The sequence below is a fragment of the Homo sapiens genome, chromosome 6 (genome assembly GCF_000001405.40).
Source record: "Homo sapiens chromosome 6, GRCh38.p14 Primary Assembly".
In the NCBI taxonomy this organism is placed as follows: domain Eukaryota; kingdom Metazoa; phylum Chordata; class Mammalia; order Primates; family Hominidae; genus Homo; species Homo sapiens.
The window spans coordinates 21,966,424-21,993,847 of NC_000006.12; the positions used below are offsets into that span (position 1 = coordinate 21,966,424).

At 40.0% G+C, this 27,424-nt stretch overlaps 1 long non-coding RNA gene across 1 annotated transcript in view; it reads left to right on the forward strand.

Annotated features, from left to right (window-relative positions):
• The window catches only part of CASC15 (cancer susceptibility 15), a 529,408-nt gene that overhangs the window by 300,011 nt on the left and 201,973 nt on the right, over window positions 1-27,424 (forward strand). The window contains exon 6 of the long non-coding RNA NR_015410.2: window positions 12,522-12,639. This is a non-coding gene — a long non-coding RNA (cancer susceptibility 15). The remainder of the gene's footprint in view (window positions 1-12,521; window positions 12,640-27,424) is intronic.

The following is a 27,424-nucleotide window of genomic DNA, read 5'->3' on the forward strand; positions in this document are numbered from 1 at the left end:
ACTCTCAGCCAAGTCTGGCCTGCAGCTCCCCTCAAACATCCTCCTGCCCTAGAATGTTCTCAGCGATTCCCTCCTGTTTTTACTTTCTGTTAAGTGTGTATTTCCAATTTAGTATTGTGATTTCCTCCTTTTTCCCTTTCCCTTTTTTCCTTTTTCTTCCACTCCCAACCTTCCTCTTTTTCATTAATTTTTTTTTAATTTAAAATGTTTTGAACATATAAACTCAGTACTACATTGAGCTTTTTGGGTGCAGGGACCGTGATTTCTGTAGACTTCTATTTCTGTGATCCAGTACTATGTCTAACATGTATTACATGCTGAACATATGAATGAATAAATGGGAAATCCTGGGGAGTGTACCAGAAATAGGTATAAAGACATAAAGTTCATAGCAATATAGAAGTAGAAACCGACTATCATTGATTTTATTGTCAAGAGGTGTTCTTCCTTTTTCTCTTACAAAAATCCATATGGATTTCAGTATATTTCATCTCTGACTACTCCATAGAATAACAGTTAACTCCACAAATAATATATTTTGAGACAATAATAACCAAGAAGAACAAAATCAACAGAACACGCTATACCATAATATTTTTGATGGGTTCTTCTTACAGCTGATTTTACCCCTTCTAGTCCAAATTTTTGCTTGATAAAGGTCCTGCTGGATAAAGATTCTGATAAGCTACAAAATGCCCAAATGTTGGACAGTAGAAGGGAGGGAAAGAGGGAAAACACTTTGCAGAATGGTTCATTTGCTTCATGGAGTTGAATATCATCGAGTCCTAGGGAAAGCCTGCTGTTTTTGGAAAGTGGACAAAAAGAGGGATTGCATAGAGCTTGGAATTTAAGAGAGAAACTGTGGAACAAAGATGTAACGACATTCATTAATTTAGATCTAGATTGAGAATTTTTATATTAGGAAAAAAATGCCAATAAAAACAATTTGCCGCCTCATCTGAAATCCAGCATTATGTGCTTAGAAATTACTGCCTCTGATCATTAGCCGGCAGGCGGGCCTTCCCCAGAGGTCTGTCTTGTGGTAGGGAAATCAAACAGCCATGCTGGCAGCAGTTTTATCCTTTTCTGGAAGGAGATTCGCACTCTCGGCTTTGTGTGTAGTTATCTGACTATCTCTTCTAATGCTGGAGTGTTAGCATGTGCTTAGTAATTTTTAAGCTCCTGGGACCAGACTGGAATTGATTTCATCTGCAATTTGTCTAGTGACAAGCACAATGCTGAAGAAAAATAAATATTCACTATAATTTTTATTAGTTCATGACCCATCATAAATCAAAGCTGTGAAAAGAGTTTAAGTAGCTTTTCCCAATCCCTGGGATTCATAGCTCTCTCAGTTATCACTTGAACAAAGGTGATAGCTGGACACCAGTGATACCCTGGGATGGTGAGCTTAAGGGAATTTAGCTTTTCCCTTCCTGCAAGCTTTAAAATGTGATGTCGTTAGGAGACTAGGGAGGGTAGACTTTTCAGTTTAAATCTCCCCTTTTCCCTTTGGTAGGACTCCGAATTTTAGATTTCATGGATGAATAAGTAACCTTAGTGAGTGATTTGAGACTAGAGTACATAAAAATGTGTCAATAGTTCAGGATGACTGATAGCTCCCTTGTAACCAAAGCCACCTGCAATTTTTTATAGTCATGCAGCATAAGCCATCTTGAACAGATAATCAATTCTATTGCACAAACAGTCACTTCTGTTCACCAAGGAGGCCCACTTTTTCTCTCTTCAAGCAGGGCTATGAAAAAAATAACCTATATAATCCAAATGATCAAAACTTCTGAAATACTGGGGCACTTGTAAAGCTAGGCTTCTCTTCCACCTCTCCATACCTTGCCCGTCTCTTTCTTTTTTAGTGAAAGAACAGTGGACTCACTTATGCAGCTGTAACAAAGATCAGAGAGACCTGTACTGCCATGTGCCCATGCACACATGCAACTACACACACACACCCTTTTAGAAGAGCGTATTTCAGTCCAAGTATCGTTTCTTGCCCAGCCTTTGTCAGAATTTTGATCTCTGGAGGATTAGGAGAATATTTATTTATTTATTTTCCTTACATAAAATATCAAGTGGCATTGCGGCAGCAGCATTACCACAGCAGAAATTCATTCTTCTTCAGCTACTTCCTGCATCTCATTGAGTTAAAAAGAGTGAGGATGTGATTTTGAAATCTGAATTTGTAAAGGGTGTGAGGTCTTCACTGAAAATATGATTGTGAATTAAAGGCTTTTGATTAAAGTAGACTTACAGATAAACACTTCATCTATTTTTCCTCATTCATTAAAATACCATTATACTGTATAGTCTGGTGCTGGATTTTATATTCATTTTTTCAATAGGGTGAACACAGTATCATCATAGTTGCCATTAGATTATTCAATGGTATTTATATGCAAACTAGGTCATTCATTCATTTTACAAATATAGTTTGAGCTTTGAACAGGTAACAGGCACTGATTTTTAGGTGCTGGAACTGGGGCTACAGTATTAAGCCAGACAATTAAGTCCCTACTTTAGGAGCTGACATTTGAAGATGTAGGTTAACAGTTAGGGTCTAATGATTAAAGATCTAAAATTCTCTTAGTAGCAGCTGGGTCTCTAACAAATAATGATTATGGAGGAACCACTAAACCTCAGAATTTAGTAAAGACAAAAACATTGGTAGTAAATGATTCTGGCTTGTTAGTTATAAAATATTATTTTCAGATCTAGATTTTGGCCTAAATCGTGATTATTGTTGCTTAAACTTGGGCACTTTTGCACTAGAGATCAATGTCAAATCCAATGAGTCATAACCTTTCTGGTGTCTGAAAGAAAGCTTGGAAGCCATATAGAGCTCACGTGTTTTAGAGTAAAGTCAATTTGGGGATATGTTTGATTTTCATGTCATCTGTCCCCTAAAAGGACCCTTAAAGGTTGGCCCAATGACTGGGCCAACCACTACCCCCTTCTCAGTTTGAGTCACTGTTTTCGGGTATCATGGTGGCCTAAATAGCAGTTCTTAAAGTTTGGTTCATAAACCCCCGGGGTTCCTTTTCAGTGGATCTGCAGTGTTGATGTATTTTCGTAACAATACTAAGTTGTTATTTGTTTTTTCCATTCTTTTTCTTTCACAAGTATACAGTGAAGTTTTCCACTGTATATTCAGAACCCCTGTATAACTCAGCAAGTCGCTATTTCCTAAACAACCGATGATCGATGTTACAAAATGATATATTGGTAAAAGATCCATTCAAAATGCTAGATAAATTAATGGGTTTTAATATATCAGAGTATGTAAAGTTCACTGATAGGTGTTCCGATTCCTATACAAACTTCCAGTTGTTGAGTTTGGGTGTAGTATCAAAGAAAGAATATCCACAATTATCTGAAAGGCTATTTCATCAATCCTGCATTTGCCAACTAGGCATTTGTGTGGGAATGGGTTTTCTACACACATCAACCAAACATGATGCCACAACAGATTGGATGCAACTATCTTCAGTTATGCTGGGCATTAAAAAAACGCAAAGTAAAACAGTACCACTCTTCTCACTAAATGTTTTAGGAAAATCTAATTATCCCTTATAAAAAAATATATATTATTTATGTTAACAGTAATGGGTTATAAATTCTTTTTTGGAGACGGAGTCTCTCTCTGACTCCCAGGCTGGAGTGCAGTGGTGCAATGTTGGCTCACTGCAACCTCTGCCTTCCAGGTTCTAGCGATTCTCCCACCTCAGCCTCCTGAGTAGCTGGGATTACAGGCATGCACCACTACTCCTGGCTAATTTTTGTATTTTTAGTAGAGAAGGGATTTCTCTGTGTTGGCCAGGCTGGTCTTGACCTGCTGATCTCAAGTGATCCACCCGCTTCGGCCTCCCAAATTGCTGGGATTACAGGCATGAGCCACTGTGCCTGGCCCATATATTCTTTTTTAAGGAGTAACAAATATTAAACATTTATCAGTTTTAATTTGTATCATGATAAATGTTATAAATTATATCATGAGATATGATGTACATGAACTAAAGCACTTTGAAGTCCTCAACAACTTATTTATTTATTTTTTTTTGAGATGGGGTCCTGCTATGTTGCCCTGGCTGATCTCAGACTACTAGGCTCAAGCGATCCTCTCGTCTCAGCCTCCTGTAGCTGGGACTACAGGCATGCGCCACTGTGCCCTGCCTCAGAATTTTTTAAGATTCATAAGGTTATCCTGAGATTAACCAATTTAAGAACCGCCGGTCTAAAGCAATGTGTTAGTAAATCCATCTTCCAGGAAGCTGAAGCGTAGAGAAATTTGCGCTAGTTACATTCCCTGGGGTCTAGGATCTGCTCCCAGTTCTCATTTTGAAGCAGGGTTTCGGGAAGTATAAGTCAGGTCTCCTTAATGGCTCGGGGCTTCCTGTTCTGTGTGCAGTGACAGAGGATAAAGACAAAAAGGCTGTAGTCCATAAAGTCCATTTTTAATTTCCAATCTTATATGCCCCAAAGTCATGAAATCCTCTAGGATAATTTCTGAGTTTCAAACCACAGCTACTGAAGATGGAGCATTTTACAAGGGCTGCATGACATTTATTCTTCTTGGAAGTGCAGCTTGCAGCTCCGCATGCTAAAAGGAAATCAAAACTGCTTATCTGAAACATCTTTTATCATCCATTTGGAAACGAAGAATTCAGCCTGCTCTGCTTCCACCCCTGTAGGAAGCTACACCAAGCTGACTTCTCAGTCTGGACTTGTTCTCAAGGTCACCTATGTAATTTTTTTTCAAAGCTTCAGTGTCCTTAGTATTCTCAGAGATAATAGCACCAAACCCATCAGTCATTTCCTTGTCCTCAATTTTCTTTTTGGCTTCCTGCAATTTTAATCCCAAGTCCTTGCAATTCCTTTCTGTAGAGGCTTAAGTGGCCCCATTTATGACCAATTTACAGCTAATATTTGATTCATTCTTTTAAAATAAGCCAAACAGTCCTCTGCTCTACAGGCCTTGTAGCTTTGGACTTAATAAAATCAAAGGCCTGATAGTGGGGTAAACTGATATGCTTTTTATGATTTTCGAAGAAAAATTAAGAGATCCTTAGAAATTGGAAGGAGGTAGATATTTGTTAATTTCAGAATCTAGTGCTGTTGTTAATAAAGGGAAAGAAATAGCTCTTTCTTCTGTATTGCACATTGAACCAATTTTTATAAAGCGGGGAGAGGGAGGGGTGAGGAGGATAGATGAGTAAAGAAATCAGAAATTTTTCTGGGGCCTGCTTACTTGTAACCTCCTTTGGATGCCTTATCTCTGGCCCCTTCTGTAAGCTGATCCAGCTCATGTCAGCATGACACATGAACCATGCAAAGCTTCTTTTTAAAGAGATTTTAATTCCTGCTTGACAGGCTAGGCTGAAGCCCATGAGTGACAATAGATTTTTTTTTCTCTTAAAACAGAGTGAAAGCCACAGTGCACCTGGTATTTCATTGAACACCAGGTTGTGTGTGTGTGTGTGTGTGTATAATATTTCTGGGAAGGAAAAAAACAGTTTAAAAACCTAAGTAATAAAATGTTCAGTTTGCCAGGAGTTATGCTTTAAGAAAAGATATCCACCGTTTTTGGCCTGCCTGAAGACTGTTTATGCCCTTAAATCTGTTTTAAATCTTTTAAGAGTTTTATCACTTTCCCCCTTCTTGTAAAAGTAGCTCATTGCTTTATTTTTTTATTCTAGTCTGAAATTGCATCTTTAATTATCTCCTGTGTGGTAAAGTATCAAACTCTCACATTTCATGTGATGAATTTCATCTCTTATACCCAAGAAGTTTGGGGGAACTGACTATATCCAATATCTTGGGGGAGAATAGCTAGAAACTGGGACCATCCTTAAGCATTGTATGAGGCCCAATGCAGAAAGACAAGGAAGTACTTTAGGAGTTGCCTAAATGTTCTCTTGCAAATATAAAATGAGCTTTATTTTATTTATGACTGCCTGAGTGAGTTCGGACAGCTATAACAAAGTACCCTAGAGTGTGTTGCTTATAAACAAGAGAAATTTATTTCTGATTGTTTTGGAAGCTGAAAGTCTGAGATCAGGGTGCCAGCATGGTTGCATTCTGATGAGTGCCCTCTTCGTGGCTGCAGATTGTCAACTTCTTGTATCCTCACATGGCAGAAAGTGAGTGAGAGCTTTCTGGGTCTCTTTTATAAGGGCACTAATTCCATTCATGAGGACTCCACCCTCATGCCCTGATCACTTCCCAAAGGCCCCACCTCCTAATACCATCACACCAGGGGATAGGATTTCAACATAGGAATTTTGGGGGCCAGAGCATTCCATCCATACTAATGACCATAGCACATTTGAAATAGCTCTCACTTTCCACTGGTATTGCGCATTGCGAACTACTCAAAGGACTGAAGGTGATAGGGATGACTCCGATAATGGAGGTAGTGATGGTGGTAGCATGATGAAGGTGGTGGTAATAGGGGCGTCTTCCTTTATCAAATGGGGCACTGGACTTTGTGTGAATCACTTCCCATACTTTTTTCTCATTTAATTTGCACACCAGCTCTGAGAACTTAGGTGTCATTGTCTCCATTTTACAGATGAGAGATAGAGGCTTAGAGAAGTTCAGTGACCTACTCCCTCCCAAAGCCATCCAGCCCAGTAATGGTGGAGCAGGATTAGAATTTATACTGATGACAAAGCCCAGCCTCATAACCCCCACTCCAGAGGTGCTTGTCTTCCTCAGGTATAGGCAGGGTAGGGATTTAATTCCTCTTTCAGGGAAAACTAAGACCCCAAAAGCTTGAATGATGCTTAGTGATACGCTTAATGTGAATGAACTTGGAGCCAGAGTGGAAAGCATCTTACCATGCTGGTTCAACCAGCTTCTGAACAGAAGCTGTCTATGTACGTCAAAGGGAAAGGAGCCACTTGTAATTGTATAGCACACCTCAGGAGTAGTGTTTTCACAAGTACTGTCTTGATCTTCCCAGTGCTTATGAGGTAGGTAGGTCTTATTGTGTCCATTTTGCATTTCTTCTTACCTATACTCTGTTGCTGGATGCTAATTATGATGACTTGGAGAAATTACAGAATACTAAAGTAAGGAACAGTTTCTGGTTATATGAACTATTTTTATAGTTAAGCATTTGAGTGTTTTTATTAATGTTCTCATGGAAGATACTGTTTCTTCTAGTGATTTGAAGTAAGCTTGCTACATTCATGTTTAGACATTTTTCTTATGGGTGCTTGTGACATTACGTACTTCTCAGTGGTCATATTTTAAAATTGTATGTTATAATCAGGCACGGTGGCTCATGTTTATCATCCCAGCACTTTGGGTGGCTGAGGTGGGAAGATTGTCTGAGGCCAGGAGTTTGAGACCAGCGCGGGCAACATAGTGAGACCCCCTATCTCTCCAGAAAAAAAATTCTTTTTTTTTTTCTTTTTAAATTAGCTGGGCATGGTGGCATGTGCCTGTGGTCCCAGCTACTTGGGAGGCTGAGGAGGGAGGACTGTTTGATCCCAGCAGTTCCAAGATGCAGTGAGCTATGATTGTGCCACTGCATTCTAGCCTGGGTGACAGAGTGAGACCCTGTCTGGAAAAAAAATTGTGTTTTACTTTTGCAAAACATTTTCAAAAGTAACATTGCATAATGATCTGGAAAGTCAGAAACTCCAGGGTTGGATTGTGCTTTGCTACTGATTAATTCCGGGACCTTGAGCAAGACCTGTGACCTTTCTGGGCCCCACTTTCCCCATCTTCACTATAATGGGGATGGGTGTTCAGTAAGGATTCACTAGAATGTCTTTGATCTGTTTTGAAAGAGCCACACATGGTTCTTAAAGCTTTTGTTACCCAATAATATATACATCAAAAAATTTTTGTAGTAAAGATGTGAACAATTGTGTGTCCTATACACATTGAAAGATGACAAGCCATTGGAAGACTGCTTTAAACTCTGGTATCTGCTATGGCCAGGGAGTGAGCTGTTGTGTTGATAATTTAGCCTGATTATATTTTGTTCATAAATAGATTACCAATTCTTAAAAAGTTGGTATTGCCGGCCCTCCTTCCTTCCTTCTTCCTTTCTACCTTCCGTTTGTCAAAAAGCCATTAGGCAGGTCTCAGCAAGGAGACCTATCAGGGCAAATAAGTAAATATACTGAAGATAATGGGAGCCAGACTTCTTACTGTTGGAGAATAGTTACAGATATAAAAAAGGGGAGAGCCAGAATGAACCCTGTATTGTGGATAGGAATTTAAGGTTTCATTGTGAACGTGTGGATTTTGATATGTAGAAATTTCATAGATATAGAAATTTCAGTGTAGAAATAATATAAACGTTAAAGTGTATGCATGTCTATGAATAAATGCACATACACACATACACACACACACACACACACACACACACACCCCCCACACACACCCATTTCCTAACTCTGTTCACTGAAAGGGCCAGGATGTAGTGACAGCCCAGTAAATATGAGCACACCTGCTACCCAGATTGTAGTTTCTAAATTCCAGTTTTTGCTTAAAGCAACTATGGGTCTTTGAAAAAAATGTCTGGTTCTAGAGCTGGGAAAGAAAAGGTACAAGATGAGCCCTGAATGTCTTGTGACAGAAGATATAGAAACTCTGAAAGAATAATGGGAGACGCCACAAGGACACAGCAGTCAGCTTCAAGGGATTCTCACTAAACCCATGTGAAACCTGGAACAATTTGAGCACCAGAATGACAATGATAGTTACAGATTACATCCCACTAAACAAGAAATACATGAATCTACACTTGCATAAATAAATAAATGCATAAAAATGTGGGGAGAGGAGAAAGTTCTTCCTTAAAATAGAACGCTGTGTGATATACAGAAGGAATTCTGGAATTGGAGAGATTACCATTTGGCAGTCATCATAGTAATAATTAATCCAGGTAAGAAACATCAACGGATGCTAACAATAATGAATACAAGTTGGATGAGGATCAGAATCTTTATATAATCATAAAGTATCTGTCCACAAATCCTTGTGCATTTTAAGGGGCAACACAGGAGCTTTACTGGAGAAACTTGGAAGACACAACCTTACTCAAGTGATCAAAGTTCTCATCAGCAGTGATGGGACACACAGTGTTCTATGTCACTTGATGGGATGCAATGAGAAGAACACAGCATCTCTTCCAAACAATGCAATCTTCAGATCTTTTCATGAGAAAATATCTCTAATCCTAGTTCAGGGGCGTTTTACAAAATAATTCACCTGCTGCCTTCCATAATATAAAGGTTGTGAAGGTCAAGGATACTATTCCAGATCAAAGGAGATGGAAGAGCGATGACAACTAAATAGAAAGTGTGATCCTGAAATGGATCCTTTGACTAGAAAGAGCATTACTGGGAAAGTTGGCCTAACTCGAATTGGGGTCTCCCAGTGAAGGATACATGAGAGTTCTTTGAACAGCTTGTGCAACATTTCTGTAAGCTTGAAATTCTTTTGACACAAAAAGTAAGACATAATTTGTACAGGAAGGCTTAGCTTTTAGTTTTAATTTTACAAAGTTAAAAGGAATAGTTTCTGAATTCTTTTTTATTTTGGATTTTTGTAAGAATCCTATGGGGTATAATTATTAAATTAGACTTTTAGTTCTGGATTTCTGTGGTGGTTGTGCAGAGAAGAATATTGTTTTATGAGATAGGGACTTTTCTGGATGTGTGATATCATTTGTGTAATTACGGAAATTCATTCAGATTTGACTGGGAAAGCAGTTGGAAACTTGGAGTGTCTTAAGGCCATTGTTAGATATTTATGAGGCATTTTAGATTAATGGGATTATGAGTTGGTGTTCTGGAGTCATGCTTCCTGAGCTCAAATCCTGCCTCCACCACTTACCAGTGTGTGGCTTTGAGCAAGTGAACTAACCTCTCTGTTTCTTACATCATCTATAAAATGTAGGTAACCATAGCACCTATCTCATGTGGCTATTGTGCAGACCATCTGATTAATACCGGTAGAGTGCTGAGAAGAGTACTGGCTTAGAGTAAATGCTATGTCGTTATTATTATCATCATTATATATTATTGCTGCTGCTGCTGTTACTGTTACAATATGGATATAATTTGTGTAGCACAGGGAGGGGAACATCACACACTGGGGCCTGTCAGGGAGTTGGGGGAAAGGGGAGGGAGAGCATTAGAACAAATATCTAATGCATGCAGGGCTTAAAACCTAGATGACAGCCCAGGTGCAGTGGCTCATGCCTGTAATTCCAGCACTTTGGGAGGCGGGTGGATCACGGGGTCAGGCGTTCGAGACCAGCTTGGCCAACATAGTGAAATGCCATCTCTACTAAAGTTACAAAAAATTAACCGGGCGTGGTGGTGGGCGCCTGTAATCCCAGCTATTCGGGAGGCTGAGGCAAGAGAATTGCTTGAACCTGGGAGGCAGAGGTTGCAGTGAGCCGAGACCGCACCACTGCACTTCAGCCCAGGTGACAGTGCGAGACTCTGTCTCAAAACAAAAAACAAAAAACAAAAAAACCCTAGATGACGGGTTGATAGGTGCAGCAAACCACCATAGCACATGTATACCTATGTGACAAACCTGCATGTTCAGCACATGTATCCCAGAACTTAAAGTAAAATTTAAAAAAAAGAAAAAATAAATAAAAAGGACATTTCCAAAGCAAAGAAAAAAAAATTGTGTAGCAAAGGCTAGAGAAACTGGCTAAGAGAAATTTCCTATGGCAATTTGTTGGAAGTTTGATTCTTTCTCACGCTCTGATGATAGAAAGGCCGTAATGCCATTGATTTTGGATACTAACACTGTGTACTGATCCTTTAAGATGCTTTCTTATTTGCAAAGCCAGCTTCCACGCCCAAGCACACCTTAGAGTTTCTTTACCCTTTATACAGGCAAAGGCACACATTTTAAACGTTCAAGAAGAACAGCAGAAACAAGACAGGATCAAAGCAAAATACAAAGAAAACAAGATTGGAGAATCAGAGAATCAAGATCCAAGGAAAAATGTTTACTTTGGCAGAAATACCTAGAAAATATAGTGACTGCAGGCCTTGTTTCAAGTTCACATATTGAATCTCAACATGTTTACTTATTTGCAAGTGTAAGTAAATGTATGCAGCACACTGAGTTAGCAAACATGGGATATCCCTGAAGGAGGGAGATGTACAGCTCATCAGTGTTGTCCACAGTGCACCCAGCATCCTACCACTTGCTCCGGGCTCTCCAGCCTGTTCCTTTTCCTGAAAGGGCTTCCAGTCAAGCTCATGCTATATTATTATATATAAGACCTAGGGAATATTGAGCATTATGCATTTTTATTTCTTTATGCTTTGCTTTGTTTCTAAAAGGGTTCAAATGAACAAATCGAATTGTCTGTTATCCTAAGAAATGCTAAATTGTCCAGAATAGACCTGCATTAACAAAGTGTAAAGTGAAACAAGAGACCAGTTGGCAGAGAGAGAAAAGAGAGAGATTTCGACTAAAGCCTAGAAGAATAGGTAATGAATGACTACTCAGAAAGAAGGTAACAGATTGGTGATGGAGGAGGTCAGGGGTTTCACAGTGTATGCTTCTTTTTTACAACTAAAAGCACATTTCTGGTCATCTAGCCCAAAAGCCTAAGTTTTTAGGCACAGGAGAGTTTCAGATATGTCGTGAACACATAGCCCATTGCTTGGTCCTCTGTCTCAAATACCCAGGTTGTCTACCCTTGATTCAGTCTCTTGTCACTATCTCACCCTGACTATAGTATTTTGAATTTTAGATGACATTTACATATTTTTGAGAAGCACTAGCAATCAAATGGGAATAAACCATATAGGATTCCTCATACCATCTAAGTTTTAAAACTTTTTCCTAGAGTATATGGACCTATGTCAAGACAGTGTGTTAAGGTTGTTCTGTGATTAAGAACTCAGAACCTAGAGCCAGAATCCTTGGGTATAAATTGTGACTGTCATTTACTAGCTGTGTTCCATTTTCTTCATCCGCAAAATGACATCAATGATAAGAAACAAATATGGGCCAGGCACGGTGTCTCATTTTTGTAATCCCAGAACTTTGGCAGGCTAAGGCGGGCAGATCACTTGAGGTCAGGAGTTCAAGACCAGCCTGACCAACATGACAAAACCCTATCTCTACTAAAAATATAAAAATTAATTAGGCATGGTGGTGCGCACCTGTAGTCCCAGCTACTCAGGAGGCTGAGACAGGAGAATCGCTTGAACCTGGGAGAAGGAGGTTGCAGTGAGCTGAGATCACACCACTGTACTCCAGCCTGGGCCACAGAGCGAGACTTCATCTCAAAAACAAAACAAAAAAAAGAGACAAATGTAGTTACATACAGCAACATAGGAAGCTTTCAAAAAATGTTAACTAGTATGTATTTGCCTAATGAGTAGAAATAAAAAACTTCAGTACTATTTGGAGACTTGGTATGTTTACATGATTCAGTAATAACTACACAGCACCTTTCCTTCATACAAAGTTCTAATAAATTATTGCTTTTTCTGTAGGTAAAATCTACTGGTGGAGTCACTCCATTATTCTTATCTGTGGAGATCTAGATCTTGATTTGAAAGTTTCTGAGAAAATCTTCAGCTCAGACTTGAGGGTCAACTTTACCAGCTGAAGGTAAAAGCTAATTTTATTCATTTAAGTGTGAATTGCTCATTACTGAAGCATAGAAAATAAAGATCATTAACATGTCTTAACTAGAACATATCAAATAGAATCCTGGTTTCTTGATGTTGAAAAAATTATGAAATACTAATAGAAACAGAGAAAAATGGCCAGGCGCGGTGGCTCACACCTGTAATTCCAGCACTTTGGGAGGCCCAGGCGGGCAGATCACCTGAGGTCAGGAGTTCGAGACCAGCCTGGCCAACATGGTGAAACCCTGTCTCTACTAAAAAATACAAAAATTAGCTGGGCGTGGTGGTAGGCGCCTTAATCCCAGCTACTTGGGAGGCAGAGGCAGAAGAATCGTTTGAACCCGGGAGGCGGAGGTTGCAGTGAGCCAAGATCGAGCCATTGCACTCAAGCCTGGGGTGACAAGGGCGAGACTTCTTTCAAAAAAAAAACAAAAAACAAAAAACAACAAAAAAACCCAGAAAAATAAGATACAATGAATAAGGAGAAAAGCTCGTTTCCTCTTGTGGTTATGGAAAGCTTTATAATAAGCATCTTCAAATCCATTTTTATTTTATTTTATTTTTGGAGACAGGGTCTCACTCTGATACTCAGGCTGCAGTGCAAGTGGCATGATCCTAGCTCACCACGGCCTTAAACTCCTAGGCTCAAGTGACCCTCTCACCTCAGCCTCTCAAAGAGCTGGGATGGCAGGAACATGCCACCACATCGAGCTAAGTTTTTTCATTTTTTAAAATAGAGACAGGGTTCTCAGCATGTTGCCTAGGCTGGTCTCAAACTCCTGCCTCAGCCTCCCAAATTGCTGGGATTACAGGTGTGAACCACCGCACCTGGCCTCATATCCATTTTTTATATCTACAGTACCCAGTTGTTGAAATAATCTTAACATCTAAGGAAAACAAATAAACTAAGAAACAGTCTACTGCAGGACTGGAGCAGTTGGGGAACGGAATAGGAGAGTACCAAAAAAGATGCAAATGTTCCTATAAAAACCAGGAGGCAGTAAGCCTGCTGCCTGGAGCCAGGAGACTGGACAGTGGAGAAAATCTCTTCTCAGATGCTCCTATTCATTTGATGGCTAAGTAAATTATTTTGTAGTGTTAAACATGGACGTTGTTGTTGTTTTTAAATGGTGGGAACCTTCCAATAACTGGCTTATTTTCTCATCGGTCTGTGTCTCCTATTCTTCAGAGGTTGTTCTTAACGTCCTCCATTCACCTCAAATTTCCTACCCCTCCAGGTTGCCAGTTACTGCCAGTCAGAAAAGAAGCTTTAGATGTCAACTCCCTCAAATTTTGCCTCCAGGCCTGCACAATTAACCTGTACTCACATTCAGTGCTTTGTCACTAGTGAAGGGCAAACCACATCCCAGTCCCACTTTGTTCCTTATTCTCCTGCTCTGGAACCACCTCCTCCTCCCTGCTCCTGAACCACCTCCTTCTTCCTGCTCTGAAACTGCTGAAACGCACCTCCTTCATCTGGCTTTGGAACCACCTCCTTCTTCCTGTTCTGCAGCCTGCCTCCTTCTTCCTGCTCTGGAACCTGCCTTCTCCTCCTTCCTGCTCTGAAACTGCCAAAACCTACCTCCGTGTTCCTGCTCTGGAACCACCTCCCTTTTCTTGTTCTGGAACCTGCCTTCTCCTTCATCTTGCACTGGGATTTGCCGCCTCCTTCCTGCTCTGGAACCAGCCTCCTCCTTCCTGCTCTGGAACCCACCTCCTCCTCCCTGCTCTGGAATCTGCCTTCTCCTCCTTCCTGCACTGGGGTCTGCCTGCTCTTTCCTGCTCTGGAAACTGCCTTCTCCTTCATCTTGCACTGGGATCTGCCTCCTCCTTCCTGCTCTGGAAACTGCCTCCTCCTCCTCCTTCCTGCACTGGGGTCTGCCTCCTCCTTCCTGCTCTGGAACCTGCCTTCTCCTTCATCTTGCACTGGGATCTGCCTTCCCTTCCTGCTCTGGAACCTGCCTTCTCTTTCATGTTGCACTGGGGTCTGGCTCCTCCTTCCTGCTCTGGAAACTGCCTTCTCCTTCATCTTGCCCTGAAATCTGTCTCCTTCTTCCTGCTCTGGAACCTGCTACTCCTTCTTCCTGCTCTGAAACTGCTGAAACTCGCCTCTGTATTCCTGTTCTAGAGCCACCTACTTCTTCCCGAGCTGGAACCTGCCTCTTCCTTCTGGCACTGGGATCTGACTCCTCCTTCCTGCTCTGAAAACTGCCTCCTCCTTCTTCCTGCCCTGGAACCTGCCTCCTCCTTCCTGAGCTGGGAACTGCCTTCTTCCTCCTGCTCTGAAACTGCCAAAATCCACCTTCACATTTCTGCTCTGGAACCAACTCCCTCTTCTTGCTCTGGAACCTGCCTCCTCTTTTCTGCTCTGGAACCTGTCTTCTCCTTCCTGCTCTAGGATCTACCTCCTCCTCCTTCCTGCACTGGGATCTGCTTGCTCCTTCCTGCTTTGGAAACTGCTTCCTCCTTCCTGCTCTGGAACCTGCCTCCTCTTTCTTGTTCTGGAACCCACCTCCTCTTTACTACTTTGGGATCTGCCTCCTCCTTCCTGCTTTGGAACCTGCCTCCTCCTTCCTGTGCTGGAACCTACCTCCTCCTTCCTGCTCTGGATCCCACCTCCTCCTTTCTGCTTTGGGACCTGCCGCCTCCTTCCTACTCTGGGATCTGCCTTCTCCTTCCTGCTCTGGAACCTGCCTCCTCTTTGCTACTCTGGGATCTGCCTTCTCCTTTCTGTTCTGGAACCTGCCTCCTCCTTCCTGCACTGGAACCTGCCTCCTCCTTCCTGATCTGGGATCTTCCTCCCGCTTCCTGCTCTGAGACCTACCTCCTCTTCCTGCTCTGGAACCTGTGTCTTCCTTCTTGTGCTGGAGCCCACCTCAGTTTCTCCTTTCTCCTTATCAGCTATCATTTTTGTCACTTCCCCCTTCTTTTTCTTCCTTTTGATGCCTTTGTTCAATATTTTCACATATTCACTATTATTTTTTCTCTTTTTTAATTAAGATTATTCATATGCCACACAATGTATCATTTTCACATGTAGAATTCAGTGGTTTTTAGTATATTCACAAAATTGCATGACTCTTCATGATCTAAAATTCCATGATCTAATTTCAGAATTTTGTCATCACCTCAGTGAGAAACCCCATACCCATTAGTAGGTGCTCCCCATTTTCCTCTTCTTCTTAGTCCCTGGAAACCACTAATCTACTTTCTGTATCTAAGGATTTGCCTGTTTTGGGCATTTTATGTAAATGGAATCATACAATTTGTAACCTTTTGTATCTGACTTTTTTCACTTAGTATAAATTTTCAAGGTTTGTCCATGTTCATACATGTGGTAGCATGAATTGCCATTTCATTCTCTTTTATGACTGAATAATACTCCATTTTGGAATGCAGCATATTTTGTTCATTGATTCATCAGTTGAGAGACATTTGAATTGTTTCTACTTTTTGACTGTTTAGAATAATGCTGCTATGAACATTCATGTCCAAGTTTTTGTGTGGATGTATGTTTTCGGTCCTCTTGGTTATATATTTAGGAGTGACATTTCTGGGTCATAGGGTAATTCTATGCCTAACATTCTGAGGAACTGCCAAACTGTCTTCCAAAGTGGCTGTGCCCTTTTACCTTCTCACCAGCAATGTACGAGGTTTCCAATTCCTCTATATCCTTCCCATTACTGATTATTGTCAGTCTTTTAAAATATAGCCATCCTAGTGGATGCAAAGTGGTTACTTATTTCCTAGTCTCTCTTGGACATCACTTCCTTTGGGGAATTGTTCTGAACACCCTGAAATCCTTTCTCTTCAGGCTGTGTTAAATGTCCCTGTATTAGTCCATTTTCACACTGTTGATAAAGACATACCTGAGACTGGGTAATTTATAAAGAAAAAGAGGTTTGATGGACTCACAGTTCCATATGGCTGGGGAGGCCTCACAATCATGGTGGAAGGCGAAAGGCACTTCTTACATGGCGGTGTCAAGAGAGAATGAGAGAACCAAACAAAAGGGGTTTCCCTGTATAAAAAACCATCAGGTCTTCTGAGACTTACTACCATGAGAACAGTATGGGGGAAACTGTCCCAATGGTTCAATTATCTCCCACCGGCTCTCTCTCATAACACATGGGAATTGTGGGAACTACAATTCAAGATGAGGTTTGGGTAGGAACACAGCCAAACCATATTAATCCCCCCTGTATATTTCTCAGGCACCCTGTCCTTGTAGCATCCATCATCACACTGAATTATCATTGTCTATTAACTTTATCTCCTCCATTAGAGTATGAACCTGTTAGATAGAGTACCAAAATATTCCTGTGGTATTTCCTAGGTTAACACAATGCCTGACACAGTTATTTAGTCTCATCTTTTTGTCAGGAGTGGTATGGTGGGAGACTTATAGACTAGACTTCATAGCATTATTACCTAAGCCCCTAAATACAAGAATGAAAATATTCATTAGTATTGTTTGTTAGTTGATATCTAGTTAGAAGGAGAAGACAGGATTTTTTAGCCTATGTGTTTGACTTTTTATTTTTATTTTATTTTATTTTGTGATGGAGTTTCGTGTTTGTTGCTCAGGCTGGAGTGCAATGGTGCAATCTCGGCTCACCGCAACCTCTGCCTCCCAGGTTCAAGCGATTCTCCTGCCTCAGCCTCCCAAGTAGCTGGGATTACAAGCATGTGCCACCATGCCCGGCCAATTTTGTATTTTTGGTAGAGATGGGGTTTCTCCATGTTGGTCAGGCTGGTCTCAAACTCCCGACCTCAGGTGATCTGCCTGCCTTGGCCTCCCAAAGTGCTGGGATTACAGGCATGAGCCACCGCACCCACCCGTGTTTGACTTTTTATGAAGTTATTTTTTCTTTACTGTTGTACTAATACAGTACTGTCCTTTAATTCACCAAGAAGTTGGAAGGAAAGAAATAGGGATGCTATAAAATATCACCATAGGGGGAAAATGCCTGGGTGATTTTAAAAGTATAAATCAATTAGCCATTTTTACTTTGATTTTTTAAAAGCTTGACTGATTGAGAACTGTTTCTTTTAAAAAAGAAAATACCAGTTCCATAGATTAGACTTTAAAGATTTCACATGCAGATAGAAGTCAAGAACGGTAAAGTTTATGGATCTTCAAAAATGATGTGTTTCACTGTAAGTATCAAAAATCTGAGATTCATTTACATCAGGGTTGAACAGATAGGGATCAGTGCCGGGTAACAAAAGCTGGAAGTGGAATTAAACATAATTAAAGACTTTAAATATAAGTTTGAATTAAAAAGTACATCCGGCTTGAAGGCTGACTCATACTAAATTATAGTGCCCTATGCGTAAGTACAGATTAAAAGGCATATTTAATTAGTTCTTTTAAGAATTTCTCCCCACAAACCTATTGGTTTTTATAATCAACATTTAGATAATGTTGTTTCTTTTTTTTTTCCTGATGCCAGAAAGATTTGTTTTAGCATTTTAGATTTTTCTTAATTGAAATGAAGTTATGCTTGGACTAGATAGCCATTCTCTTATTTGACAGTGTTTTCAGTGTATTCTTGGAAATTCTATCCAGCTTCTTTTCTATGGTTTTTATATGCTTCTGGAACAACGAGGAAATAGGGGAGGGAAAGAAAGAGAGAAACAAATGTAAGTTGGACCCAGATCAGTGAGATAGTATCAAATGGGGCCAAAATGAATTTGGCAGATGCTCTTCTCATGTTTCCCACTGGAGCATGCACATATTGTTACTTGGAATACCACTTGCATTTCTTTCATTCTTGTAAGATTTTTCTTCAGCTTCAGTAACAAACTTTAACTTTAAATAGGAGCCAGGAAGGAATATTGAGAATTTTTAAAAAATGTGTAAATGTACTTAGAAAGGATATTTTGCCATGAAGGTTTGGTTGGTAAAGGATATAATAGATGCCTTTTAAGCGTAGGAATGAAAGTGTGGAGGGCCAGAGATAGTGGAAGGTGTGTCGTGTTTAGAGATCTGAGTTTGAATCCTCATTTTGCCACTTAATAGTGGCATGACTTTGGCAAAGTAAACTTTAAGAGTCTATCTTTCCTTATTTATAAAATGAGAAGATCCATTTTTACTCTATAGTGCTGATAGTAAGTGAATTTAGTGACAGATAGAAAACATTCAATGAATGATTGCTGTTTCAAAATTGTCATATTTACTAAAAAAAAGTAATTCTTAGGATAAAAAAGTAAATTTTCTTATCAAATGTTCTTTTAATGTCAGGTAGGCATTTCAGTTTCATGATGTTCATTGTAGATATTACTGGTAGCTGTATTTCCTTGGTTCCTGTATGTCAGCGTGGTAGACAAAGACAAAAATGAGAAAACCTTGAATGTGGGAGCACACGAATTTATATAGATGAAATTGTACAGTACCATGTACTTCATTAATATGCACTTAATGAAAGTTTATTAAAATTGAATGAGAGTTGAAGGTATTCAATATCATTTTATTTCTTGCAGTATTTAGGTTACTGCAGACAACTGAGAATTAGCTTTTTTTTTTTTTGTGAGACTGAGTCTCGCTCTGTTGCCCAGGCTGGAGTGCAGCAGCGCGATCTCAGCTCACTGCAAGCTCCGCCTCCCGGGTTCACACCATTCTCCTGCCTCAGCCTCCCCAGTAGCTGGGACTACAGGCGCCCGCCAACACGCCCAGCTAATTTTTTGTATTTTTAGTAGAGACGGGGTCTCACCGTGTTAGCCAGGATGGTCTCAATCTCCTGACCTCGTGATCCGCCTGCCTCGACCTCCCAAAGTGCTGGGATTACAGGCGTGAGCCACCGCGCCTGGCCAAGAATTAGCTTTTTTTTTTTTTTTTTAAATATATGTATCCAAAGGAGAAAGATGCTGTATAACTTTCCAAAATGTCTGTTCCCTTACTTACAAAAGATACTTTTAAGTTTAAAGGAATCTTAGGCTGCAAGGAGGTGCAAAACTTACAGAGTTTTCATGTACCCTTCACCCAGCTTCCCCATGATACTACTATCTTTAATATCCACAGTACCATTATTAAAACCAGGAAATTGACATTGGTAATTTACCCCTTCAATGCTTAACCCATTTTAGCGTTTTTAAGTGGAGGAAATTCTTTTTGATGTCTTGCTTAATCAATTTTCACCTACATATACTTTTTGAGTGTCAGTATGCTGAACAGAAAGATATTTTGAAATCAGAAACCCTTAGGCTCAAATCTTGGCTCTGCCTCTTATTGCTATGCAACACAGGGGAGCTTTCTTAGCGTCGATGATGGTCTGTTTCTTCATTTGTAAAAGGTGCTATCACTTACCTTGCAGAGTTGGCATAAGGATTAGCAATTGTGTATTGTCAAGAGCCTTTTCAATAAATGATGGCTTTTGGAATAACTGTTCTCTTGCTATGTTTTCATCAAAAATTGAAAAGAGCTGGCCATTATCTTTAACATAGCATGTGTACTTTGTGGACACCTATCATTTCAGGACCACTAACTGGTAAATATGCTAAAACAACTTCATGGTTCCTGTAGCCCCCTGCTTGTTTTGCTCCCTGGTCACCCACTTTATCTGCACCTTTTTTTCTGGCCTATAGACCAAAAGCCACTCCTCTCTGTGTATAGATTATATTTCTTCTGCCTTTTGTTATATGAATTCTAGGAAATGTAGTTCTTTTTAGTTTTTTGTTTGTTTTCTTTTATATAACCTCTTCCAACTTAGTTCTGTTTTACAAGCAGTTGATGATAGCCCTAGGTAGATGCCTGCTTCAAACTCAGGCTGATACGGCTGGCTCTTGAGTATCCCTGTACAAACGCTGCCCTTCAGGGAACATCGTGTCCAGGGCTGCTGCCTCCCTCCGTTTGCAGACCTGGTGCTCTGCGTCTAAAACTGGTCACTCCTTCTCATCTCTCCACTTGAGCACAGCCGCAAAGGTAGAAACAGAGTTCTGCACCCCACTTTTTGCTGCACCTCAGTTAGCCCAGGAACATCTACCCCTATTTAGCTCAGAAGTGTGTAGTCCTGTTTAAATACTTAAAATTTGCTATGTTCTGTATTGGCCAAGAAATGTTTTCTGGTAAGAGCTTCTGGTAGGAAGAGGACCTAAAGCTGCCCTCACAAGACGATATTTGGTTCATTTGAAATAGAAAGTTTTGTTTGCTTTTAATTTTTATTTACTGAACTGAAAATTGGAAACAGCCCATTGACTTTTCTATCTTATACAGCATCTCCTCCTACACATATTTAGTTTCCTGCTCCCTTGAAATCTGGGCGACCTACTCCTGTTTTCAAGTTTTTTCTATTTTATTATTTTGGTCCTTAGCATTTCTGCCTTTTTTGTATCTTCCAACTTTCCATTTCAAAAGAGAAGGATCATATTTTTATATATTTACATCCCGTTTGAATGTGTTTAAGGAACGCTTAGAAATGTTCCTTTATGTTTTAAAATATCCCTTCTGCTAAAGCAAGTAGCATATCATTTCCTGCTTTAGTTGCGGCCTCAGTCTGACAGGCCAGGGCTAAGTAAGGGTGAAAAGTTCACCGTCCGGAAGTGCTGTTGAGGTCAGAATCACGTGATGAGGAGCCGACCCAGACTCCCGGTAATTCCCTGAGAATGTGAATCTTTGGGAGAAGGAGCACAAGAGAGAGCTTTTTCTCAAGTCGGCTGCCTGTGCTCGGGCTCTTGCTTACAATTCTTAGTTTTATGGCACTATTCTTCTTCTTCTTCAAGGAACTCACTGTAATGCCTTTATTATTGTCTACATCAGTGTTTTAAAAAGTAAAGTTGTAACGCATTGCTAGGTTATGCAATCAATTGTGTGGACAGAGATCAGCCTTAAAAAATAAAAAAGGAAACAGGAAATGTAAACAGAGTGCATTATATGGAATAAGAATATGTGTATTTTGTAAAACTCTTGTTTGATACATAGATCCGTACACATAGACACACACAATCTCATAGGTCTCTATTGATTTGCGTATGGGTACACGCTGGCAGGCGTACATTCTCCTTCATCCTCATTCCTAGTCATTTGAAAACTCAGTCATTCAAAATGCATGCCCTTGCCAGTGGATGTGTTCTTATAAATTTCACATAGTTTCATATTTGGAATTTATTGTAACTGCATTTTAATTTATGTGAATATGAGTTATATATCTTATTTTGTTTCTTTGTATTTTCTCCACTCAGTATTCTATTTTAAGGTCCATGGATATTGCTATGTGTACATCTAATCCATTGCATCCAAATGCCCATAGTTGTTGAAGTGCGTCTAGAATACATTTTACTTCTGTTCTCTCCCAGGGATGGACCCCTATATTGTCTCCATCTCACCTCACCATGAACACAACTACTGTGAAAAGCCTCAGATACATCCCTTACTGGAAAGTACCAAGGGGAATTTATTTGGGTTCTAGCCTAATAGTAGACTTGCTGAGCCAGAGGGCATAGGTACCCAGCTCAGATACTGTATACAGTATAATTTCAAAAAGTATACTGATTACCTCCGGAATGATTCACCAGTCAAAGCACCCACCAGCAGTATGAATGCTTATTCCCACATTCCCACCAGTACTTAGCATTATTAAGCTTTCTAATTTTCCCTATTTCTGTCTAGTGAGTGTAAAATGATATATTTTTTGTTTTGTTTTGTTTTTATCTGATTATTGTTGGATTTGATTATGTCTTCATGTGCTTGATTTTCTTGGATTTTTCTCATCTGTAAATTCCCCTTCAAATTCATTGCACATTTATCTACTGGAAATTTTTTACTTTTCCTATTGATTTATAGGCATTCGTTGTATAGTCCAGATAGTCCCTGGCTGGCTTTAGACATTACATGTATTCTCCTAGCCTGTCACGTTTCTGTTAACTTTTGTCTCTTATACTTTTTATTGAACAGAAGTCTTTAATTTTGATGTAATTTAGTTTATCAGCATTTTACTCTGGGGGCTTTGCAAAATATTCCCTCTTCTTCTAATACAAAAATTATCTATTCATATCAGTTTTATAGTTTTATCTTCCACATTTAGGTCTTTAATCTATCTGAAGTCCATATATGTATGTGGTAGCAGGTAGCAATCCATTAATTTTTCATATGGTGATTCTGTTTATTTAAGCTGGTGTTGCCCTTCCGCTCTCTGATATGCTCCATTGGTTTTTCTGTTCTTTAACTAAAGTTTATGCTGTTTTGTTACTATGGCTTGGTAATATATTTTACTATCTGGTAGAGTAAGTCCTACTTATTGTTCTTCTTTTTCATAGTGGATTTAGGTATCTGTGAACTTTTCTTTTCTATGTGATTTTTTTTTTTTTTTTTTTTTTTTTGAGACTGAGTCTCACTCTTTTGCCCAGGCTGGAGTGCAGTGGTGCGATCTTGGCTCACTGCAACCTTCGCCTCCCTGGTTCAAGTAATTCTCCTGCCTCAGCTTCCCGAGTAGCTGGGACTACAGGCGCGCACCACTATGCCTGGCTAATTTTTGTATTTTTAGTAGAGACGGGGTTTCGCTGTATTGGCTGGGCTGTTCTTGAAGTCCTGACCTCAAGTAATCTGCCTGTCTTGGCCTCCCAAAGTGCTGGGGTTACAGGCGTGAGCTACCGTGTCTGGCCATATATAAATTTTGAAATAAATACAATCGAATCAGTTCCTCAACTACAACTGAATTTTGATTTGAATGTTATTGAATTTATAAATGAAAATTGAAGAACTAACATATTTTTGGTAAGTTATTCCATCTAGGAGCTTTTACTGTCTCTCCATTTATCTCAGCATCTTTCATGTACCTTATTAGAGTTCAATGATTCTCCATAGAGGTACAGGTGTTCTTTCTGATACTTGAAGCCAATCAAAGATGAAGACAAATAATATACACAATCCATAAAATGATTTTAAAATAAAAATTGAGGGTTTAGCCGTTGTTAAAGTAGTAATATCCTTTGATTGCAGATATTTATGTTAGAAGAGATCTTAAAGATAATGTCAGATAATGTTAGAATCCCTGATTCTAAAACCTGAAATCTGAAATGCTCCAAAACCTGAAACTCTTTAAATGCTGACCTAAAGTTCAAAGGAAATGATCGTTGGAGCATTTCGGATTTTGGATTTTTACATTAGGGATGCTTAACCGGTAATGCAAATATTCTGAAATCTAAAAATATCCCAAATCTGGAACACTTCTGTTCCCAAGCATTTCAGATAAGGGGTACTCAACCTGTATAAATAAGAAAACTAGTCATCAGTGAGGGACTAGTTTTTTTTTTTATTATTATCTTATAAGGAATGATTCGCTCAAGATTACAGAGTTAGACAGTGAGAGAACTGTCTAACTCTGCCTTTCTTTCTCTTGGTAGAGTTAATGTTAAGGTTTGCTTATGCTTCCAGACAAATCAGATTCTTTTTTCAGTGATGATCACACAAAGAATGATTGACCTGCCAGAGCCATAAGACAGAAAGGGGGAAAAAAATCTCTTGAGCAGCTTTTTGTTTTCTCATTAATAATGGCGTGAGTTAGTATTTTGGTTCATTTTTCAGCAATTATGTCCTGCATTCTGGCTGTGGTTGATAGTGACTTTAAAAAAATAGATATGGTGGTACTTGCACAAAATAATTGTCACACATTAGCATGTTAATGAAGTGTTAGGGTGCTAAGAATGGCTAGCACACTAAAACAGGAGAGAAAAGATCCATCCTCACTGCTGCATCAGCCAGACTACACAATCTGAATGGAAGGCACGGCTCAGATTGACTGGCAGGGCATTCTGTATTATTGACATGCATTTTCTTCCTCTCCCCACATGCATGTTGAAACTTGGTTTTTGCTGTCTTTAACCCATCTAATTTTCCTCCAAATAAGTTGGTTTGGGGACAGAAATGAGTGCTTTTTCTTTTTTTCAGACAGACAGCAGAACTCATCAGGGAATAATTACAAGACTAATTCCTCTGTTTTAATGACATCAATTGAATAACATTAAAAAATCAAAGCCCATATGATTTCATAGCATTTTAACTCTGAGCATTTGAATCTAAATAACATGTCATTTTGTTGTATGTCTGTGTAGTAGGGCCATTAACTTAAAACTAAATTCACCGTGTGTATGTGTGTGTGTGTGTGTGTGTGTGTGTGTGTGTGTTTGTGTGCCTGCCTGTCTGTCTATTTCTGGAGCTAGTCATGTTGATGGTGGCAGAGAGAATTCTTGCATGTTTCCTGAAGGTTGGAGAAAGATTAGTATGCTTTTGAAGCCAACATGGATACTACTATCCCTTACAGGAAAACACAGAAATGCTGCTGATCGACCATATGGCCGAGGTACTCCTGATCCACATCTTAAGGGCCAGCCTTTCTTCTGAATTTCAGTTTCATATTTTTACCCACCTGTCGGGACTTCTTTACCCAGCTGTTCCCTGTCTACCTAGATCCCATCAGGTCAACACATTAAAACCCAAGTTCAGTGTCTTTCGCTAAAGCCCAGACCCCCTTTAGAGCTCTCCATTCCTCTAAGTGTTAGCAACACACTCAGGTTTATAGGCTAATCCCTCACCATGTCTAGTCCACCAGGTCCTGTTTGCGAATGCCCTATAGCATCACACAGGCTTATACATTTCTTCTGCTCTTGCTCCTGTCCCTTAATGCAGGGCTCATCATCTACCCAGCAGGCCTGGGCTCCTGCTCTCTGTCTTTTTATCCAGCCATTTTCCAAGCTTCTGGCCCAAAGCTTACCTGGACTCTGGTGTGACCATTTGTTAACTGTTCACCTTGGGCAGCTTATTTAGCTTTTATGAACCTATTTGTGTTCTTCTATCAAGTATAAACAGTAATAACTTGACGGCTTGTTTGGAGGATGACGGATATAATGAATGCCAAGTGCCACACACAGTGCCTGGCATGTAATTGGTGCTCATATTGTATCACCCTCCATAGTAATTTCTTTGAACGCTGATTTCTTTCTTTTCCAGAAATACAAGCTCCTTCTTGCTGTTTGTCCCTAGAACTCCTTTTCCCCTCTGCTCAGCTTTCACCTTCTTGATGACACAATCCAAAATAGCCTTTCCCAGCTCTGTCCCCGTACTCTCCAGCATCACGTTTATAGTCTTGCCTTTTTAAATCTCTTTATCTCTGACATTATCTTTCATTTGTTTGCCTGATTTTTAAAGTAATCTGTCCTTTTCCCCACTTGTGCACTAGAATGTAAGCTCTGCAAAAGCAAGGGATGTGTCTGTCTTCTTTGCAGCTGTAGCCCAGGATGGAGGAGTCAGCCTTAGATATCTTTTTAAGACTTATGAGTCAGAACTCAGGCTTCATACACAGAGGCGCCAAGCCCTTAAGCCATTCGGGGTACACAGTGGCTGCAGCAGGAAGTGGAAGAGATGAATCTTCTAAAACTGAAGATACAGCTGTGTAGGAGATGAGAACCTACCTACCTACCTTGATTGACCCTTGCCTTTTATACTTAGAAGAATCATCATCATTATAAGGAAAGACCTGAATAACTTAATATACAATCTAAGTTTTCTTTTTGCTGGATCAGATAGAGATAGACTTTCTTATGATATGTTCTTATGGCCTTCCCATTCTTGGCCTAGGCTTTTCTTTAGCTAGGCTCTGATCCCTGCTGAAGCCTCAACCTGCCTTGTCCATTACCAGGACCTTAATCCCTGTTTATAATCCTGCTTACCGGCCTTTTAATCCTTTGAGATTGACCACAGATTCAAACCTTGCTAAAGGCTTGGCCTCCTGGCCCCTACTTCTCCCTAGCCTACTTCTCTGGGCTGTGCCTTCCTCCCTGTCTGTGTAACCCTAAGAAGGTCTGCACCGTCACTTTGCCACTTTTTTCTCTGATTCGGTGGACAAAGAGTAAGCATTTGCTTTGTATACTATGTACGCCCTTTCATTTCCAGTGTAGCGTATTTAACCAGAGTGAAATAGCACATGGATCCAGCCCACCATGTAGGTTAAAACTGTGGTCTCCATACCTTCAGCACCTCTCCTTTCACCCTACCTTCAAATTTTCCTGCCACTGACTCTTCCTCAGCGACCACTGTGTATATATTGCTGCCTGCTGAGAAATGTTCAATGCTTCCTCAGCCACTGAAGGATAAGCTTGAACTTCTTAGCTTGACATTCAAGCCTTGCCCAGTCTGAATTGTACTTAGTTGCCCATCATGGTTCCTACATGAAGACTTGCCCTGCTTCACCCAGACCCACAAGACGCATCTTCTAGCTTATGCCACAGCTACATCTCTGCCTGGAATGACCCTCCTGCTCCCCCGTGTATATTCAAGCCTGACTTGCAATTTAGTTCACAATTCAAGTTCTGGTTGCTCCAGGGAGTTTCTCCAACTGTGACCACCCCTTCCTCTCGAACTCTTCTCTTTTCTCCTATCCCCTTTACTTGGTGGGTGGCTCTTTCTTCTTCCACTGCCACTCATCTCCAGATGAGTAGATTGGGCCTCTTCATTTGGCTTGAAAGTCCCTTAAAGATGGAATTTTGTTTTCTTCCTCTTTAAATTTTCATTGTTTTAAATATTGCAGCTGTTGTCAGTTATTGCTGAAGATGATCATGATATTGCCATTTTTCGGGGTATTATCTTTTATGCATTGCACTAGATGTTTTATATGTATTATCTCATTAATTGTCCAATTATCCTATGACATTATACATGTATTTTACAAGAGAAAATGAAAATTTATTTTATTCTGCTAATAGTTGGGGAAGGCTGGTTTCAAAGGTCTGTTGGATTTTAAAGCTTGTACTCTTTCCACCATTCACTGATGATG